Below are 19,670 nucleotides of genomic sequence, written 5' to 3'. Positions count from 1 at the left end.
AGCGTCAGGGGCTCTGGAACGGCTAAGGTCCTACAAGGCAGGGTTCTTGGGAAAGCCTTAGTTCCCTCAGTGAAGGGTTCTCCTCACAGTAAAGGCAGGAGTTTGGGGTGCTGGGGTCCCTGGCCTTGCCCCATCTCCTTGCCTCACTCAGGTCCAGGCCCCAGCAGCATCCAGACTGGAGGCAGCAAGCCCAGGGGAGGCCATGGCCTGCAGGCACCCCGCTCTGCTGCCACAGGACACTCGGTCCCACCAGGGGCTGTGCTAGACATGGTGCACCGTCCCCTCCAACCCATACAGCCCTGCAGGGCGGCCTGTCAGCCTCATCTGACAGACAGAGAGATGGAGACTGAAGCTCAGAAAGGCCACGTGATTGTCCCGAGTCAGAGACCTACAAAGCAGCAGAAGCCAGGTTCGAGTCCATGTCCATCAGAGGCAGCTCGAAGGCTGTCACCTACGACAACCCATGGACTCAGTCCAGAGGCTCCTGGCAGCTGGTGTTCTGGAGGTCTGGACTTGGTCCACTTCCAAACCCAGATGTCTGTGAAGCATCTCAGGTCGGAGACCTGTGTCTGAGGACCGTGGCGGGAGAAGACCTGGCCCCTGTCCTCAAGGAGCCTCTAGTCTAAGTGGGAAAACAAGCTTAACACCCTGGAGGTTTTCCGCCCCTGCTTCCTCCCTGCTAACCACCCTTCCCCACCAGTCCTAGGTGACCTCCAGCCCTCCTAGCCCTCGAGCTGGTTGGTTCCTGGACATGGTCCCAGAGAAGAAGCCATGTCCCTGGACACGCACGTGAAGGAAGCTGCTGAGGGAAGAGACATTTTCCCAAGTCAGATCCATCCATCCATCCATTCAGTAAGCATGTGTGGAGCTCAGGGTGTCACCCCTGTGCTGGGCAGCCATCGGGGACGCAGAGACACACACAGCCCTGTGCCTGAGGAAGTGTGCAATGCATGGGCCTTGACTGGTCAGTGAGGGTCTTGTAGGCCAGGGCCAAGGACTGGATAGAGCAGCATCTGAATAGTCCTGAGTTTGGGACCAGAGACCTAGTCTGGTGCCTTCTTTTCTATTATTTTTTGACACATCTCTTTCTGGACCTCAGTTCCCACATCTGCAAACAGAAAGGTAGAATCAGGTAAGAATCAGGTCTAGCTCAAAAACAGCTAAGATGTGCAGACTTCCTATCATAGGCAGCTGCAAGCCATTAACAGCTTTCGAGAGGAGAGATTCCCTCACTTTCCCACCATCAGTGGGAGGGCCAGCCTAGGGGCCCCCTATTTGGTCACGTGGTCACTAAACCAACCCCATTTCCTCCTTTCTGCCTCCCTCCCAGGTGGCCCATGTCTAGGGCTGAGACTGGATTGTTGGTCCACGTCAGGCGTCAGGAAAGCTGACGAGCACATTCCTGAACCACTACAGCCTCAGGTTCATGCAAACAGAGCTAACAGTGGCTTGGCCTCCCTGCCTGACCCTCTACCTCCGCTCTTGGATGAAGGCATGTGTGTTTGTATTTCCCAAGGCTCAGCCCTGCACAGTGGGGAGCCCAGCTGGATCCTTGATGCCACAAAGACAACCAATTGGTTCACACAGCCGGCGTGGAATGCTCTCAGCTGCCATTTCCTCCTCTCAGCTTTGGCACAACGAGGCTAAAAATGACTATTTCACAGGGCTTTTGTGAAGATTAAATAACATATATCTCATAATGTGTAAATTATTAGCTATTTTTAACATTAGTAGTGGTTTGGTTTTTTTCCCACAACTCTTACTTTCAACCCAGAAAGGTTCTAGAAAGGTTGTCAAGCATACCCATTATGCAGCAGTTGGATCGGAGGGTCAGGGTTTTCTCCACATTCTAGTCATTTCTCCAGAAGAACATGAGGCTCATCTACTGCCATTATTACCCAAATTTTTGTTTCTGTTTTTTGTTTGTTTGTTTGTTTTTGAGACAGAGTCTCACTCTATTGCCCAGGCTGGAATGCAGTGGTGTGATCTAGGCTCACTGCATCCCAGGTTCTCTGCCTCCCAGGTTCAAGCCATTCTCCTGCCTCAGCCTCCCGGGTAGCTGGGATTACAGGCTCCCACCAGCATGCCCGGCTAATTTTTGTATTTTTAGTGGAGATGGGGTGTTTCTCCATGTTGGCCAGGCTGGTCTCAAACTCCTGACCTCAGGTGATCCGCCTGCCTCAGCTTCCCAAAGTGCAGGGATTACAGGCGTGAGCCACCGCACCTGGCCTATTACCCAAGTTTTTTCAGGGAAACATAAAGGTCTTCTTAGCCAAGGGCTCAGCATATATAATCATTGCTTCCAGAACAGAAATCAGATTAAGACCGCTGAATTCTGTGTTTTAATATAATTGACCCAATTCTTAGTCACAGTGATACTAACTGTATCACTGTAAACTGGGGACCTCTCAACCTTCTTTAGAAGATGGAGGGGCTTCCTTCTTCATGGTCTGGTTCTCCAGGGGCTCCCAGCCTTGCCAGAAGATTTTTAAGTTCATTCCCATAGAATCTTGAGGCTCACTATGCAGATAAGCACAAGCAAATCCTCCTGGAAAAACTGTAGGTAACAGAAATTAATATTTAGTCCTTTGGGCAGAAAAAACAGTCTAGAAGTTTCTCGTATGAACATCAGCTGTGATCCAGTCTAAAACATCAAAGAAAGAAGCAAGCAGGCAGAACCAGACAGAAAGCCAGATAAGACAGTGACAGCTTTCATCTGTGTAGAGCCACATAGCTCCTAGGAAATTCACCTTCCATTTCATCCCCAGAGCAACCCTGTGAAGCAGGTGAGGCCCCATCCAAGGCCACCTCAGCTAGCTAGTGGCCCAGTGGTTCTGCTGTTGACCTCCACAGGCTTCCCCTGCAGCGACACTGCATTTAGGCAGAGTGGGGCAGAACATGGCAGGCAGAAGGGACCTCAAAAGCTGTATGATTGACTCTGGGCTTCAATGAGAAATCAACCAACTATCAAAGCCTTTGTGCTAGAGCACACCTGGAAAGCTGCCCTGAATGGGGAGCTTTTCTGTGAGAAATCAAACCATGGCTCCCTGCACCTTAACGTCACCAGCGCAAAGATTTGTTGGCGGCATAAACAAACCTGAATCACTGGTGAGTGGGGGAAATTTAAGGCATAAATTCCATGTTTCCTGCTCACAGGCTTGGCATAATTGAAATCCATTTGCTGTCAAAGAGGAGCTAGCTAAGAGTTGAAGTAACATTTAAAGAAAGTCTCAGGAATCTCTTCATTTTGTCCTTCAGTCCTCGGTGGAACCATGGCAAGAAAGACGTCTAAATTGGCCCTATTTATATCTTTCTAAAGGCAGTTTCTCCATTCTGCAGGAGCTCCAGCCTCAGAAGTAATGGTTTGGGCAGAAACTGGTGGAGGGCTTTGACGACTGCACGGAAACTTGGGAGGGTCTTTGATAGGGAAAGTAGAGAGGGGGCAGAAGTGAGTAGCTATCAAAAGGGGCTTTATTGAACTTTTACTAGCTAATGAATGCATTTAATGGGAACAGAGTTGGGTGTCAATGCAACATGATGACAATTCCATCTAGTTGGCTAGATTTTTGTGGCTTTTGGGGAGGAGAGAAAGAAGGACCTGCGTGAGCAGTTAATCACTCTGTCTTTAGCCAAACTTCATTTAAAATTTCACCGTGTTCTCTAAACTGTGCCAAGGGATGGTGTCATGCGCTTCATTGAATCACTTGCAGCCAAATCTAAAACAAGCAGGAGACTCAGTCTTTCTTCCTTATGTTGACTCTGAATTTCGGGTTACATGTGATTCGGCGGAGTGGTGGGGCAGCAGCTAGTCAGCCGTTGGGTGCTTATTACATGCCTGGCCTCATTCTAAGTGTGCCTACGACACAGAGATGCTTCATGGATAGGGAAACTAAGGCTCAGAGGGATTAGGAGACTTGTCCAAAGTGGTCGTTAGAAGCAAAGCAGGGCTCTAAACTCTCTCCTGTTTGACTCCACTATCCATTCTCTTCACTAACGAGCCCAGATAGCAGTTCCCAGAGAACACACAGTAGGCCACTTACAAATCTTCTTAGAATGTGCTCTGCTCCCCTCCCTTGTTAGCTGTGCTCTGGGCATGCCTGGCAGGCTGCTGAAAAGATGTCATTCCTCTGCCCACTTTCACTTACGTTGCCATATAGAATCCTCTCAACCTCGGTGTAGGACCTTGGTGAAAACCCACTCTACAGGTGAGAAAACTGAGATGCAGGGGGCTCAAGAAATAATTCCTAGACATCCAATGGAATGACTGAATGAGGAAACCAGTTCTCAGCTCATACCGTTGGCTGGCATTCGGTCTTGATTTGATTTGGCTATAGAATCCAACACACCTGTGCTTTTTTTTTTGAGATGGAGTCTTGCTCTGTCACCAGGCTGGAGTTCAGTGGCAAGATCTTGGCTCACTGCAACCTCCACCTCCCAGGTTCAAGATATACCCCTGCCTCAGCCTCCTGAGTAGCTGGGACTACAGGCACATGCCACCACACTTGGCTAATTTTTTTGTATTTTAGTGGAGACGGGGTTTCACCATGTTTGCCAGGATGGTCTCGATCTCCTGACCTCGTGATCTGCCTGTGTTTGCTTCCCAAAGTGCTGGGATTACATGCATGAGCCACCGCTCCTGGCCCACACATGCTCTTTCTTTTCCGACCTGTGGACTCTTGAGAAAAAGCGACTCTGTTTATTATTTACTTTTGTTAGATGGTGAAATGGAGGTCCAGCAGATAAAGAGGCCTGTTCTAGGGTTCTAAGATAATGGGTATTTAACTAACGTGAAGCTTTATAAGTAGATGCAATACAAATTAACAATGATTGACCACAGGTGTAATCACTCCCTCTATCTCACCCTGCCAGGAATTAATGATACAACTTTAAATAAAACATGTAGTGTTGGAGAAGGGTGCATGTTTTCCCTCCCTTCCTTCCTTCCATGGTCTGAATGTTTTTGTCCCCCTAAAATTCATGTGTTGAAATCCTAACCCCCAAGATGATGGTATTAGGAGGTGGTATTTGAAAGGTGATTAGGTTATGAAGGTGGAGCCCTGGTGAATTGGATTAGTGCCCTGATAAAAGGGACACCAGAGAGACCCTCATCATGTGAGGATATAGCAAAGAGGCACTACCTGAGAGCCAGAAGCAGGCCCTTACCAGACACCAATCCACCTGGACCTTGGGATTTTCAGCCTCCAGACTGTGAGAAATAAATTTCTGTTGTATATAAGCTATGCTGTTTAGTTATTTTGTTATAGCAGCCTCAAAGGGCTAAGAATCAACCTTTCTTCCCCCCCTCCCTCCCTCCCCTCTCCTTCCTTCCTTCCTTCTTTTATTTCTTTTCTTTTCTTTTTCTTTCTTTGAAGAAGCCTCAAAAGAGGCTATTTACTCTCTCAAAGCTCAGATACAGTAAATAGTTTGCTTTTCAGGGTTTGTGCTGGGATTTGAACCCAGGTTGGCTTGACCCTGTCCCATAATGTGATTTTCCAAACTGGATTTCTATATCCATTTCCCTGTTTGCTGTGTGCCCCTGCCAGCTTTTCCATCCCTATGGCAGCCCCCCATCTCTGTCATAACTGGAATTCCCAGCCCCCACTGGCCAACCCTCTGTCACAAAGGTGGAGCCCAACTTTCCACCCAAATGGAATTCCAAATTGATTTAAAAACCAGATTCCCCACGTGGAACCAATAGTGTTACATGCTGTCTGGTTTCATCATGAGCTAAGTGTTACTTAAGAGTTGTGCTCCAATCCTAGTCTGGTTTTATTGAGGACATTCTCAAGCTAAAGAATTTCAAAAGGAAGCCAGCTATGCAGCCAGGGACCCCTTGAACCTGTTGCTTGGTGCCTTCTCTCAAGCCAAACCGACACTCAGAGTAGAGCTCCCTCCTGCAGTGAACACCTCTTATGTGGGATGGGGGATGTAAGGAAGGGGACAGCAAGAGGAAAACTGAGGCAGAGGGAGAAATACCTGCCCTTGGTTGAAGATGAGACACATGAAATCTTAGTGGCCTCATGAGGTGTCAACTCTCTCAGGCCTACAGGGACCCCACATCAGGGTTTGTGGCCCATGTGCCCCCTGCACCAGCCACATCCGCTGCTCTGCCCTGGACCCAGCAGGTCAGCCCCTACCAAGGCCCTGCTGCACTACCTTTTGCAAAGGTTTAGAGTGAGGAGAAGGGATACCAACCCCATTTTTTTCTGAATGGAAGCATCAACTCCAAAAGTAAAAGAGTCAACAGGCTCTCTCATGATTACATTAAAAATATACACACCAGGAAATTAAATCAAGCCAGATGATCAGAAAGTCTTGGAGAGGAAGGGTGTTCTCCGTCCTTCAGAACATTTGCTTGTTCTAGTGGATGGAAAATCAGTGAGTGTTGACACAGACACCCTAGACAGCATTGAATAGGCCACACTGCAACCACAGGAAAGCAGGGGCTTTTCTGGGCAAGGCAGCAGGGGTTGACAGACATGGGGACCTGGCTTCAAAGCTGCCTGAACGTATTTCCTTCTGGCCTGCAGTCTGGAAGGTAGACAGGTGCAGGCTCACTTCCTGGGGCCTGTGTAGAATGGAGGGGCCTTGGCTTTGCTTCCCAACTCCCCATCCTCCATTCCCTACAAATTTTCCAGAAATGGAAAATGGTTTCCTACTGACAGCTAAGAGCCTCTCTGCTGTCCAGGTCCCTCTCAGAGCAAGTCTGGTCCCACCTCCGAGAATTGGTCCTCAAGCTGCTGCCTGAGAGGACTCTACTACCTCCAGTCCTGCCTCTCCTTCAAGAATTAGCCAGGCCCCTTCTGCCTCCATCAGGCACCTACTGACTGTTTCTGGCACCTGGCCTCACCCCCTCTGCACTTTCTCGGCTCAGCACATCACGCTGGAAATGTTCCTGAGATTGTGGATCTGTGTGAGTTGTGACTCCCTTGCAAGACCGTAGACCTTTGAAAGCAGGGATCAAGTCCACATTTGTGTATATTCTTGATGCCAAGGGCAGGGCCCCCTCAGTTGAGAGAGTCCACGTTTATTTAAACTCCCTATTATAGTCAGAGTAACTTTCTTGGCAGTCTGGTTGAATTACCCAAACGCTTTCTAAATTCCACTCTTCCATAACCTTCTTTATGACTCTGGTATTATGTTTCCCATTTTATAGGTGAGCAAACTAAGACTTGGAGAGTCAAGAGTTGCGCACAAATGCCTGACAAGGAAGAGGCAGCTCTCAGCCTTGAACCTGGTCCTGTCATGCGCATCCAGCTCTTTCTCCATCAGCAGCCTCCAGACCCCACGTGCACACGTACCCAGCTGGGTTTAGATGGAGTTCAAATATTCACCACGCCCTCCACGGCTCACTCTGGAGGAACCAGGGCTCTGTCCAACGAGCAAAGCTGGGGAGGGTTATGAGCAGGTCTTCAGGATGGGGAGTCAGAGCCCCAGTCAACCTCCTCCTGGCTCGACATTGGGTCAAGCAGCTAGTCGTGGAGCCATGCCTGCATCCCTCTTGGTCCCTTGCCAAGCTCTGGACACACCTGGGTTCTTGCTGTGGTCTGCCATTTCTAGAGGGAATTGTCTAGAGACTCATAAGAGAGCAATAAAAACCTCTAACTTCTACATTTCCACATGTCCAGATGGGCTATCATGGGGTTCCCAGCATCCCAGTCTCAGCCAAGTCACAGATAACCAAGAGATTCTCACTCTGCAAGGCCTGGATTTTCATAGAGGTGACCCAGGACTCTGTCCAGAGGCTCTTCCTCACTGTCTACCACACTGCTGCGAGCCTCAGTGTACAGAGGAGGAACACAGGCTTTGGAGATACTCACTGGATAAACACAGATAGAGCACCTACTGTGTGCTGGGAAGGTGTTAGGTCTGGGGATGTGGGAAAGGGAAAGACACTGAGATGCAGTGGGGCAGGCCAAGTCACCAGGCAATTATAATCAAATGAGGATGCCTGGCAATGCAAGAGTGTAGAGGAGGGGGAGCTGTCAGCCTGGGGATCCTGGAAGGTTTCTTGCAGGAAGCAATGCCTGAATGGAAAAGGCCAGAGAGAGCTAATTTAAAGAGGTCTGAAAACAGTTCCACTTGATGGAGCAGAGGATAGTGGGTATACATGTGGGGAGGGAGGGGTAAACTGAGAGCTGAAGCCACAACCAGGCAAAGCCAGATGCCAGTCATTACTTGCCCTGTGACCTGAGCAACCTCCTTTATCTTTTTGAGGGTCAGGTAGCTCAGTTCTACAATAAAGACAATAATTCCCAATTCCCAGGCTTGGTGTGACCATGCAACATGACCACGGGCTAAGTGCCCATCTGGTGCCGGGCACACAGCGGGGGCTGGGCCTTCCCCACACTGCCTTTCCCCACACCTGCCTAAGGGCAGGCATGGCGCCCCACCCTGCAGGCCAGTCTGGTCTAAGCCCAACCGCAAATCATGTGGTTAGAGGAGGGCAGGAGGGCTGGAATTCATTCCACTGCTCAGAGTCCGGGATGAGTACTAGAGCCCTGAGCCTCCCCAGTCATCCTCCCTGCATGCTCCCCATCTCCAGGGGGACACGATTCCTGGGGGAGGGGTGTCCTTGAGGCCCCCCATATTTTGCAGATAACAGAGGACACCCAGGCATGGCCCCTGGGCTGTGACCAAAATGGTCTGCCAGAGGAAGGTGTTGAAATCAAATTCTTACCCTCAAAGTTACCCAGAAGCAGGTAAATAGATTTTGTGGTGGACAGAACTCAAACTATTCCCCTTCTCAAGGTTGTTGAGAGTGTTGTTTTTTTTTGTTTTTGTTTTTTCCATAGTTCAGTTTGTAGCACTGCCCACCCCTGCCTGTACCCTGTCTTGGGACTTCATCTTCATTGTGCCTCATATCCAGCATGCCAGTTTTATCTGCCTCTGATGTTGGCCCTCCCTGACACCCCAAAGTCACTGCTCTCGTCCCTGGCTTCCACCTTCCTCCCCGGACTCTTGCCTCCCAGCCGGCCTCTTGAGCGCTGTCTCCAGCCTTGGCAGCGTCCTCTGTAGGGTGCCAGGTGATACCACCAGCCTAAGGGGAGAGCTGGGCTCTTGAGAAGTACAAACCCAGACCCCACTGCTGGAAACTCTTAAGCTAACACGGGGGACGTGAAGTAATTTGGGGCTGGAGTACAGGACTTTGCAGAGTAAATTGAGGGATCCTGCAGTTTAGAACCAAACTACAAATAGCAGTGAGGCCGGGCTATGGAGTACAGTCCTGACTGTCCAGGCCATTGGCTGTGACCCTGCTTCCTGGAACGCCGGGTTTCCATACAATGGCCAGGTAAGCTGCAGGGAAAGAGGGAGGAAGCCAGGGCGAGGCGCCGGGCTGCAGGGAAAGAGGCGGGGATGTAGGGTGGGGGCGGGGCTGCAGAGAAAAAGGCGGCGCTGTAGGGTGGGGGCGGGGCTGCGGCGAAAGAGGCGGGGCTGCGGGGAAAGAGGCGGAACTGCAGGGTGAGGGGCGGGGCTGTAGGATGAGGAGCCGGGCCGCAGCGTTCAGGGCACCCCCTCATTTGCAACTGGCACAGCCCCACTCACATCTGTTTTCCATGCTGTGGGCATGAGGAGGCAGGGCACATGGAGATGACATACTAGTAAAAGGCGCGTTTGAAAGTTGTCAAAACGCATTAGGGCAGTGTTGAAGGATTCTGAGCAGGGGAGGTTACCATGGCCTGATTTGGGGGATAGGAGGTGGAAGATGGATTGGAGAGACCAGGACACTGTTAGGAGCCTATTGTAATAGTATATATAAGAGCCAACCTGGTTCCTGACCAGGCTGGGGCCGGGAGTGTAGAGGAGCAAAGAGGTGGAGATGACACTTTCTGGAGACAGCATATGAAGCTGGCACTTGAGAATGGATGGGGTGCAGATCTTCCCTCCTCTGCTAAGTGACTTGAAGGTAGGAACTGGGATCCATCCACCTTTCTGTCCCTCATAGTATCTGTCACAGTCAGAGCCTTACAAGGCCCAAGTGCTTTCTAGGTACCGGCTGGGTGAATGAACAAGGGGCCAGGTCCTGTAATCCCACAATATAAGCTCTGTGGAACTGGGAATGAGGGTCCTGACCTCGTTGCCGCATGCCAGTGAGGGTTGGGGCACAAACTCTGCAGCCAGGGGTTCAATCCGGACCCCTCTCCCTGCCAGCTGCATGACCCTGGGCAAGTAACTAAGCCTCAGGTTGGCTCAATTTCTTCATTGGTAAAGTGGGAATAATGAGAGTATGTATTTCATAGAATTGTTGTGAGGATTGCATGCATATAAAGAAAGTGCTTAGGACAGTGCCTGGCAGCACGGGTATGTTAAATACTTAATAAAGGTAGTGATCATTGGGAGAGGAAATACGGCCTGGATTCTCAAGCCAGCCTGCCTGGATTCAAACCTGGCACTGCTGCTTGTTAGCTGTGTGTCCAGAGGCAAACTTCTTAGTCTGTCTGGGTCTCAGTTTGCTTACCTGTCAGACAGGGTGATAATAATTTTACCTGTTTCCAGAACTAATATTCAGTTGCTGTATGCAACAGTGCAGCCATACTTGCAGCTACAATATTCAAATATGTTCATAGCAGCTGTTAACAGCCAGCATATCTCCAGAGGGCCACCCAGTCCCCTCTCAGACCTTTCCTGAAAGCTAGCAGAGGCAACATTTATAACTAGGATGAAAGGGCTGTTCTTCCAATGGGGTTTATCACTGGATTAAAAAAAATTCCAAAAACCCTTTAAGAAATGACAGAATCATTTTTTGGAGTAAACCATTCTTTTATTCATCCATTCATTCAATAAATATTTATTCTCTGACCCCAGATGTCAGAGCTAAAGAAAACTAAGCTTTGGTCCTTGCCCTCAAGAGACTCACAATATAGTGGGAAAAAAATAATCAGAAAGTAAGGGGCTGAGTAACAGAATGCACAGGGCCTGGGGAATCTCTCAAGGTGACAATGACAGAGGACAAATTTAACTGGCAGACCAAGGTGGGACACTTTTTTTATCCAGCAGTGGCCTCTCTACTTTATACTCACTCTTCCTATGTAGGGTTGCCAGATTTAGCAAATAAAAATAGAAGATGCTCAATTAAATGTGAATTTCAGGTAAACAACAAAGGAACTTTTTAGTGTCTAAGTATGTCCCAACATAAATGCATGGTACTTACACTAAAAAAAAGAATTCTTCCTTGTTTATCTGAAATTCACATTTAAGCTGGCATCCTGTATTTTATCTGGCAACCCCATACAAGAGCTTGTTTCCTGGAGAGAACAAGAAGAAAAAGTTAGAACAGGGAGGGAGAAGAGACTGAAGGGGCCTGGAGGGAAGTGGGGAGGAAAGGCAGAGGAGGCAGGGGAAGGAAGGGTGAGATGGGAGGCAGGGCTGAAGGGAGACAGGTTCACCCTCATTGCAGCTGCTTCTCCCTCCCTCAATTGCCTCCCCCAGTGATGCGCCAGGGAGGCGTGGGGGCATGGCTTGGGAACCTGAGTGTGCTCTCTGAAATGTCAGCAGAAATAAACCTGGCTAATCCTCTGCGATGGCCCGTCACATTAATATCCCTGAAATTCCAAGCGGATTAAAATAACCGTGAGCATGACACCATTTGGAAGGCTGGGGATTTACTTGGAAGAGGTGGCCCATTGGCGAGCATTCCTCTAATTGCTGCTTCATATAAATAGAGTGTTCTTTAATATCGCCACCAGCCCTGGCTGACAGATTTAGATCAGAGCTGTCTAAGTCATTAGTGCCCAGGCCGTGGTAAACCAAGGCTCCGTTAGGGCTGTAAATGGGATTCTCACCGGCCGATCAATCTTACCAAAGCCGCCAGTGTTGCCTGTTGATCTGCAAGGTCCTGAGTGGCTACAGCTTCCCAGAAATGTGCTTGCATCTGTCAGAATTATAAGCAGCTGGCAGCTGACACAAAGGTCATATTTGCTGCTGGTGTGGAAATAGAATCTCCCCAGTACAAGAAATGCTACTTAGCAGTATATCAATTGCAGGCGGGTCATTAAAGGAGGGGTGTGTGTGTGTGTGTGTGTGTGTGTGTGTGTGTGTGTGTGTGTGTGTTACAACCTGGGTTGCCTAGAACCTATATCCTTTGTAGGTCTACCCTGGGCTCAAAAGCAGGTGCTCGGTTGAATAAAATTAAATAATAACTAGTTCGTGATGAAATTCTCAGCACTATCACCATAAGGCAGTTTTTCCTTCTGTCATCTAACAAGTATTTACTGAGTGTTCATGCTGTTCCAGCCACTGTTCTAAGCACTCTATAACGACTTAGTGAAGGCTCTCTCACTTGCTGGCTGTGTCGTTTGAACATGTGATTGGCCTCTCTGAACCTCAGGTTTTCTACCTTTAAAATGAGGATAGTAATACCTGCTTCAGCTGGGTGCGGTGGCTCACCCTTCAGCTGGCCTGTAATCCCAGCACTTTGGGAGTCCGAGGTGGGTGAATCATGAGGTCAGGCATTCGATACCGGCCTGGCCAACATAGTGAAATGCCGACTCTACTAAAAATACAAAAAATTAGCTGGGTGTGGTGGTGGGCCCCTGTAATCCCATCTACTCAGGAGGCTGAGACAGGAGAATCGCTTGAACCTGGGAGGTGGAGGTTGCGGTGAGCCAGGATCGTACCACTGCACTCCAGCCTGGACGACAGTGCAAGACTCTGTCTCAAAAAAAATAAATAAATAAAAATAAAAGTAACACCTGCTTCAGAGAGTGTTGGGAAGCCCTGATGAAATAAAGTTCCTAAGATGCTAGAGCTGGTGATGCTTAGTGTGCCCCAGCCAGCAACAGTAATGGAAACTTACATCAGATGGTAGCATCTGAGAGGTTGGTAGAGGAGATGAGGGAGCCAGGAAAGGATCAGCCAGACTCAGAGGTGGTAAACCAGTTGTGGGCACCTGGTGAGGAGGAACTAAAGGTCTAAATGACTGTGTCTACTCAGGCTCCATCTGAGGGCAGATCTGATTTGGGGAGGGGAATCTCACAGCAATGGCAGGTTCCAGGACAGGGTCTGTGCGTGCTTGTTATGCTCTATTCAAGACAGTAGCCCCAGGGAAGCCAGGTCCTGCTCCACCCAAAGAGAGGGGACAGATAAGGGACAGGCACAGGAGCCTCCAGCAGCATCAGACTTGGGCAAGGCAGAACCATTGGGGATCCCAGGTTGTCTCTTGGATTTTTTTCCTGGCCCTTCTCACCAACCGGAAGGCTCATCAGCTCTGCAACAAACCTGGGATGCTTGTTTTGGAGTTGATTCTCTGTAGGTGAATTGGATCTGAGTTAAGCCAAGCAATTCTTTGACAAGTTGGCTCCTAAGATGGGATTGCATAAAGCGCCATGGCAAGAAGTCCGTTTTCTGTGCTGTGACAGAATTCCACCCAGAATCCACTGAAAGTTCATCTAGGGAGGTTGCTTTTGCAAGACTCAGCAAGTGGGTTGCTCCATCTCAGCCATTGGCACATTCCTCATCACTGCTTGGTTCCTTGTGTCAACACAACACGTTACATGTTTATAAGTCTGTTTTGTCTCATGGCTTGTAGGAGTCTCACATCAGCATGCATCAGCTCTCTGGGTGGCCACTTGACCCAACACAAAGAACTCAAACTTTGGAATCCCTCAGCCCTGGAATCACACCCACCTTCACCATCAGTTCCACTCAGTAGTCCAAAAATTCTAAGCCCCACCTTTGTATGCATTTTAACGGCTCTGAAATCGGAATGTGTCTTGCAATCAGTGACACCTTGCTGTTATAATTGGCAGTTCTTTTTCTTTTTTCTTTTTTTTTTTTTTTTGAGATGGCGTCTCTGTCTGTTGCCCAGGCTGGAGCGCAGTGCCGCGATCTCAGCTCACTGCAAGCTCCGTCTCCCAGATTCACACCATTCTCCTAGCTCAGCCTCCTGAGTAGCTGGGACTACAGGCGCCTGCCTCCACACCCGGCTAATTTTTTGCATTTTTAGTAGAGATGGGGTTTCACCGTGTTAGCCAGGATGGTCTCAATCTCCTGACCTCGTGATCCACCCGCCTTGGCCTCCCAAAGTGCTGGGATTACAGGCGTGAGCCACCGCGCCTGGCCCCTTTTTCCTATTTTTGTTGTTTGTAAAATAATTGTGTGTCTTACAATCTACTGAGTCTTAGAGTTGATGAATTAATTATGTGTCTGAGCTTTGGCAGGTTTCTTCTTTTGAAGCTGTTTCCACATCTGTAAACCGAGGCTGACTGCACCTCCCCAGCAGGGCTGTCATGGAGACGAAGTAAGATCTGATTGGAAGTGGAAAGTGCTCAAATGTGGTAGACACTGGATGCATGAAAGCTGCCACCACTGTCAGTAGGGCAGCAAAGGTGACCTCATTTTACAGATGAGGAAACTGAGCCCCAAGGGGAGGCTTGACCGAAGTCCCACAGACACAGGCAGAAATTTAAGATTTTCAAAAGACTGTCATCTGCATCATCTCCTCCAGTGTTTACGATCACCAAGCCAGGAACAAGCGTGACTCATCGAGGGTGCAACCCAGGAGGCCTAGCCTCAGGAGGAACAGGGGCTGCTCCTGGGCACTCAGTGGCTGCTGGGCTTGGGCCCAAAGGCAACCAGCAGTGCCAGCCCTATTTTACGGGAAGTCACTGCCAACATGCTGCCAATCATTTTAACTTTGACCTGGGATGTGGGTAAGGAAAATCAAAGTCAAATGGTGTTTGATAATAATTCTAGGAGACAGGTGCTTGCAACCTTTCTAAAGAAAATATTGTGGACTAGTTTTAACTCTATGCATAAACTACAGTTTACATTATATCAGAATGAATGTCACAGGCCACACATTCAGATTTTTTTTTTTTTTTTAAAAAGAAAAATCTAATTTCTCCTTTGATCCGCTATTCCACTTTTAGCAGGACCGCCATTCAAGTCAATTCAAGGCTTTCCCCTTCTCACCTTCTCCCAGAGGATGGATTCAGTTGAGGTGGGGAAAACATCACATCAGTGCATCTGGGGAAGCAGGCCTGGCTCTCTGCCGTCAGCTGTCCACCCTGGGCGCCACTGGACTGGCCATTGCCCAGCTGGTCCTTGGTGGCGGCCACCCCTTGTGGACTGGTGGGGAATCCTCATTCCTGCCCTTGGTCCACACCTGCACCTGCTCTTACATCCTACCATCCCAGGCTCAAGGCCCTCCAGGTTTTCTGGCTCTCAGGACCATCAGATACACTCAGAAACATTCTGTTGTTCGCTACACAACACCGGGGGGATGAGGGCTTGTGATGCGTCCTGAACCCCCCGGAGGTTGCTTCCTGCCTATCTATTGGTCCTTCACGACACTGAATGCTGGGACTTCTCTATGGAGCTTCCTGCCTCCCCACGGAGTGGGGGCACCTGTCTCTCTTCTCTCTGATCCCCTAAATTATTGGAGATTCTATCGTCCCCTCAACTTCAGAGTTTGAGAGCGTGGAACGTGTAGGCAGGACCATTCCCAGAGATTCATGCCAGCATTTAATTCTCTTTCCTTCTAAGGACTTTTTTTTTTCTTTGCTCAGGGAGTCATTAATGTAGACTGGGTAGGTGGGAAAAAGTAGCTTAACAAACCATACACTAGTCCTCCTGATTTCTGTGTGTCAGGACTCGGATTCTCGAAAGGCAAGATTTTGAGACTCTCAAACTATTGTCTCTGCCATGGGTTTCGAAAGCTGCATATTTGTTTCTCTCTCGCTCTGCATTTCTGCTCTAGTTACTCTACCATGAGGCCAGTGAGTAAAGAATGGAAGGAGGGTAGGAATCCCCAAGGAGAGCAGTAGTTGCGAATGTTTCAAATAGTTCATATCCTTCTATCATGGAAGCAGGAACGCTGCAAGGTCTATGTTGCTGATTAAATCAAGATTTTAAACACTTATGTAAAAGAGTACCCTTGGCTGCATAATCTGAACTGCAAGACAGGAGATGGGCTTTGTAACCTCATTCTGCCCCCAACCAGATGGGGGCTTCCTTCCTGTGTGAGTCGTTGGGAGAGATGGGCTCCGGGCTTCTGCTGCAGAAGCCACAAAAGCCTCCCACCTGTTCTCCCAGACCCTAACAGCCAGGGAGGGGAACGCAGTCTGTGCTCAGCCAATCACCTGTACCCACTGGGAAGAACACAGAGAGCCATGGGTCCATTTCTGATGCATCATGGGCCGTAGCTGAAGTGGGCTAATCAGATTTCGTGGCATGATCTGGCTATGCTCTCAGCAGCCCACTTTCCCTTGGCTTCTGCTTGTTTTCTGGACCTGGTTCTCCAGTCTTCCAGTGGGTTCAGTGGCCTTCTCCATATCCTTCCATCAAATCTCATTCTCCCTAGGTATCCAACATCGGCATCTATGTGGTGCAGCCAAGAGCTCTGACTGGTGATCATGAGTAACTCAGTTCTTCTCTAACGACCTTGGTGTCCTTCTCCTATGAAAGGAGGTGTTTAAGGCAGGTGAACTCCAGGATCTTACAATCTACCTTATGCTTTAAGTGCTTTGGGGCTGAAATGCATAGCCCAGTTGGTCAGTTCACCCATCCATGTCCGACGCTCCACCATTCTCTAGGTGGCCCCTATCTACATTTCAGGGACTAATCACCCTCTGCACAGTCAGCCTGGCACCCCATTCCATCCAGTATGCGAATGATCCACCCACAATGAGTTCCACAATCATTCAATCAACCAGGCTCCTTTATTACAGGACTTCTCAGAGCCTTTAATATGCTAATATACTTTGTGATCCTCTAAGAGAAGACTATAATACACATAAATCATTTCCCAAATCAATTTCGTCGTACACTTGTTGCCTCACTGCCTCTTTCAAGAACTAGAACATAATGGAACACTGCTGTGGAAAAAAGATACCAAATGTCACATGAGGAAAGACGACATCTGGCTTGACTTCCAAAACATACACACGCACAAACTTGCACATGCAGGAATTCTCTGGTCCAGCCTGACTGCATTGTAACTTTTTTCTTTGGCCGCCATTCAGCTTCCTGGATGCACAGGGATAACCAGTGTTAAGTGCCTTCACCTGGGGTTCTATGCCCAGGGCAACAGTCAGTGGTGACTCAGGGTTTGGTGTTTCCACACTCCACAGGGGCTGCTCTGTGCTCCGTGCCACTCAAGATGAAGCAAGTGCCACAACACCTGTGCTCCCTGAACCCTGGATGAGCAGCTGTGATGTGTGCAGTGTGCAATCCCCTGCCCCACAGAATTCCTGGTGGAGAAGAGCAAATAAGCCAAGTGTGACAACAAGCATGACACACTGGTGTCCCTGCCCAGTGGGGCCTGAGTGCCCACTGTCCAGCCTCTCAGGCAGCCCTGGCTTGGCCTCTAGGGAGAGTTTGGAAGCTTTCCTGACACCTACCCCTAGGTCACAGAAAGCCTCAAACATACCACAGCCCCCGTTCTGTTCTCCCATAGACCTGCCATTCAGGAACATGTCAAAACATTTTGAAACCATTTCTCAAGTTGTACCCTGTCTGGAGAGAACAGCTTCCCTAAGTGTGCGGCTTATTGCATCAAGGATTTCCTTGAGAAGCTCTAAGGGGAACTCCTCAGATCTCTATCACAGGGCTGGCTGGAGATGCCGGCACCCAGATCCCTCCAGGAGTGCTTGACTGTGACTCCATGGATTCCATGGGGATATGAGAATGGTCCCCTTTAACCTTTTTGCCTTCCAAACTATAAATATCAAGGAATATGTCTTCCTTATTATATTTGGTCTTTTTCTTTTGCTGATCATACTTGTATCAGTGAGGACTCATTCTACTTCAGTTAACTTATAATCTGACCCAAATGTGTTTAAACCTAAAAGAAAATTTATTAGTTCCTATTACTAAAAGATCAAAGGGTAGGGCCAGCTTCAGGCAAGGCTGGATCAGGAGCTCTGTGCTGTCTCCAATATATGACCTCTCTCCAGTCCTCAGCTTTATTCTCAAACTCAAGGTAACACCCAAGGCTCATTTCACAAGCCTGAGGGTTCAAGTCTAGCAGGGAGACTTGAGCCTGCTTTCCACAAAAGTCCTGACTTCATTCTGATTGTACTAGCCTCTGGTAACATGCCCACCCCTGAACTAATTGCTGTGACCTGGGAAATGAGAAGTGATGATTGGCTTAGGTCAGGGTCATGTGCTCTACCTCAAGAACCCCCACCCAAGCCACCTGGGCTAAGAGAGGGCTTGACCCCAAGTCCAATCAGGAGCTGTTGTTAGGCGATGAAGAAATGAATGTGAGGGAGGGGTAAGCAATAAGTGTGTGCCAACTACTAATTCACAAGACATCTAGCTCAAAACAATGAGTGACCAGGGAATCTTTAAAACTTCTCACTAAGGAAGGAAAACTAGGCCCCTGCTTGGCCACCGCTCAGGATATGCAAGCTGAGAGCCCATGAGTTTCGGCACCCACTTGGACTTTCACAATCAGAGACGGCAGCGGTGAAGGCATGAACATTGAAAGCTACCAGGCCTTGGTATTCTCATCCGATATATGCAAGATACTGGCAACATTATCATCAAGCAATGGCTTCGATGCAAAGCCACCACAATGCCTACAGGAAGGCCGGGGAATCCTGTTGCAGTCTTCCTTGGTACTTCCCTCCTGCACTTCCTCCCCAAAGCTGTTACGATAACCAGGCTGCGTATCCTTAGTCCTTCTATGGCCATCATGTGACCTGGCAGGACTCCCCGTGCAGTTCTTTACATTTCAGAGGGTCTGGGCAGCAGCCACATGACAGCAGTAGAATCCAGGCATCCACAAGAGAAGACCAAGATTTGTCCAAAGAGGAAGAGATGGAGATCAAGTTAGATGCAGAGGTAGAATGTGACCTGAGCAATATGGAAATCACCAAAGAGCTCCGCCAGTACTCTGCAGAGTGCCTCGGTAGAGGCACAGAGAAGGACGGTGGTGACAGCAGCTGGATGCAGAGCACCTGGAAAGCTATGTGAAGGCTGACCACGACCTGACCTGTACTGCAACACCCGCTGGTTGGTAGAGGCCCCAACTGAGAGGCCTAGAGAGCAGCGTCCCAGGCCGAGATGAAGCGATTGTATGGGGACAGCGCCAAGATCCAGGCCATGGAGGCTGCGGTGCAGCTGAGCTTTGACAAGCACTGTGACCAAAAGCAGCCCAAGTACTGGCAGGTCATCCCCCTGAAGTTCTGAGCTCGGGGCACAGGGCACCCAACCTCTCCCTCTTCCTTTTGGGTACATTTTCTTCATCTCTCCTTCTGTACATTTCTCAGTAAAAGGGGACTTTGTACTGAGGTACAGGCATGTTCACCACAGTCCCAGTGGGCCTGTCACAGAGTGGATGTACTATGCCAGCCACTTGGAGGTCGGCAGACATGTTCTGCTGCCGACATGATGAATTTTCTCCTGACATCAAATGATGATTTTGTATATATTATACTGTTTTTTTTATGTTGTCGGTAACAATTCATTAAAGTTCTTGCCTAGAAAAAAAGATAACTTCTCACAAGGATGTCAGGAATGTAGACAAAGGGGCAAATACCCAGCAATCTCACCTGCCTACCTCCATCAGAAACCCTCCATCAGAGGCCTACTTGGAAAAGACAAGAAGGGGCTTCACATCTATGCTCCCATCTGGGCTGTCTGTGTGTCTGATCCACCAGAAACAAGCCCAGCCACTCCTCTCTGCCTCTTAAGAGTTGTCCTTTGAAGCGGAAATCTTATTA

The 19,670-nt window shown here is 49.0% G+C and overlaps 1 pseudogene, besides 4 other annotated features; it reads left to right on the top strand.

Moving 5' to 3' along the window:
* Positions 263-784: an enhancer, noted in NCBI's record as "H3K4me1 hESC enhancer chr15:70114007-70114528 (GRCh37/hg19 assembly coordinates)". NCBI's record gives its function as "activates a minimal SCP1, AML or CMV promoter by ChIP-STARR-seq in primed H9 embryonic stem cells {active_cell/tissue: H9 hESC(primed)}" and the evidence as "EXISTENCE:reporter gene assay evidence [ECO:0000049][PMID:30033119]".
* Positions 1,307-1,828: an enhancer, noted in NCBI's record as "NANOG-H3K4me1 hESC enhancer chr15:70112963-70113484 (GRCh37/hg19 assembly coordinates)". NCBI's record gives its function as "activates a minimal SCP1, AML or CMV promoter by ChIP-STARR-seq in naive H9 embryonic stem cells {active_cell/tissue: H9 hESC(naive)}" and the evidence as "EXISTENCE:reporter gene assay evidence [ECO:0000049][PMID:30033119]".
* Positions 7,856-8,681: an enhancer, noted in NCBI's record as "H3K4me1 hESC enhancer chr15:70106110-70106935 (GRCh37/hg19 assembly coordinates)". NCBI's record gives its function as "activates a minimal SCP1, AML or CMV promoter by ChIP-STARR-seq in primed H9 embryonic stem cells {active_cell/tissue: H9 hESC(primed)}" and the evidence as "EXISTENCE:reporter gene assay evidence [ECO:0000049][PMID:30033119]".
* Positions 17,274-17,470: a silencer, noted in NCBI's record as "fragment chr15:70097321-70097517 (GRCh37/hg19 assembly coordinates)". NCBI's record gives its function as "represses an EF-1alpha promoter that drives an FKBP-Casp9 reporter gene in an ReSE screen in K562 erythroleukemia cells {active_cell/tissue: K562}" and the evidence as "EXISTENCE:reporter gene assay evidence [ECO:0000049][PMID:32094911]".
* GEMIN8P1 (gem nuclear organelle associated protein 8 pseudogene 1) lies at positions 18,310-19,432 on the top strand (annotated as a pseudogene).

Source organism: Homo sapiens, chromosome 15 (assembly GCF_000001405.40).
Source record: "Homo sapiens chromosome 15, GRCh38.p14 Primary Assembly".
NCBI classification, from domain to species: domain Eukaryota; kingdom Metazoa; phylum Chordata; class Mammalia; order Primates; family Hominidae; genus Homo; species Homo sapiens.
This window is presented reverse-complemented; position numbering and strand designations above follow the sequence as displayed.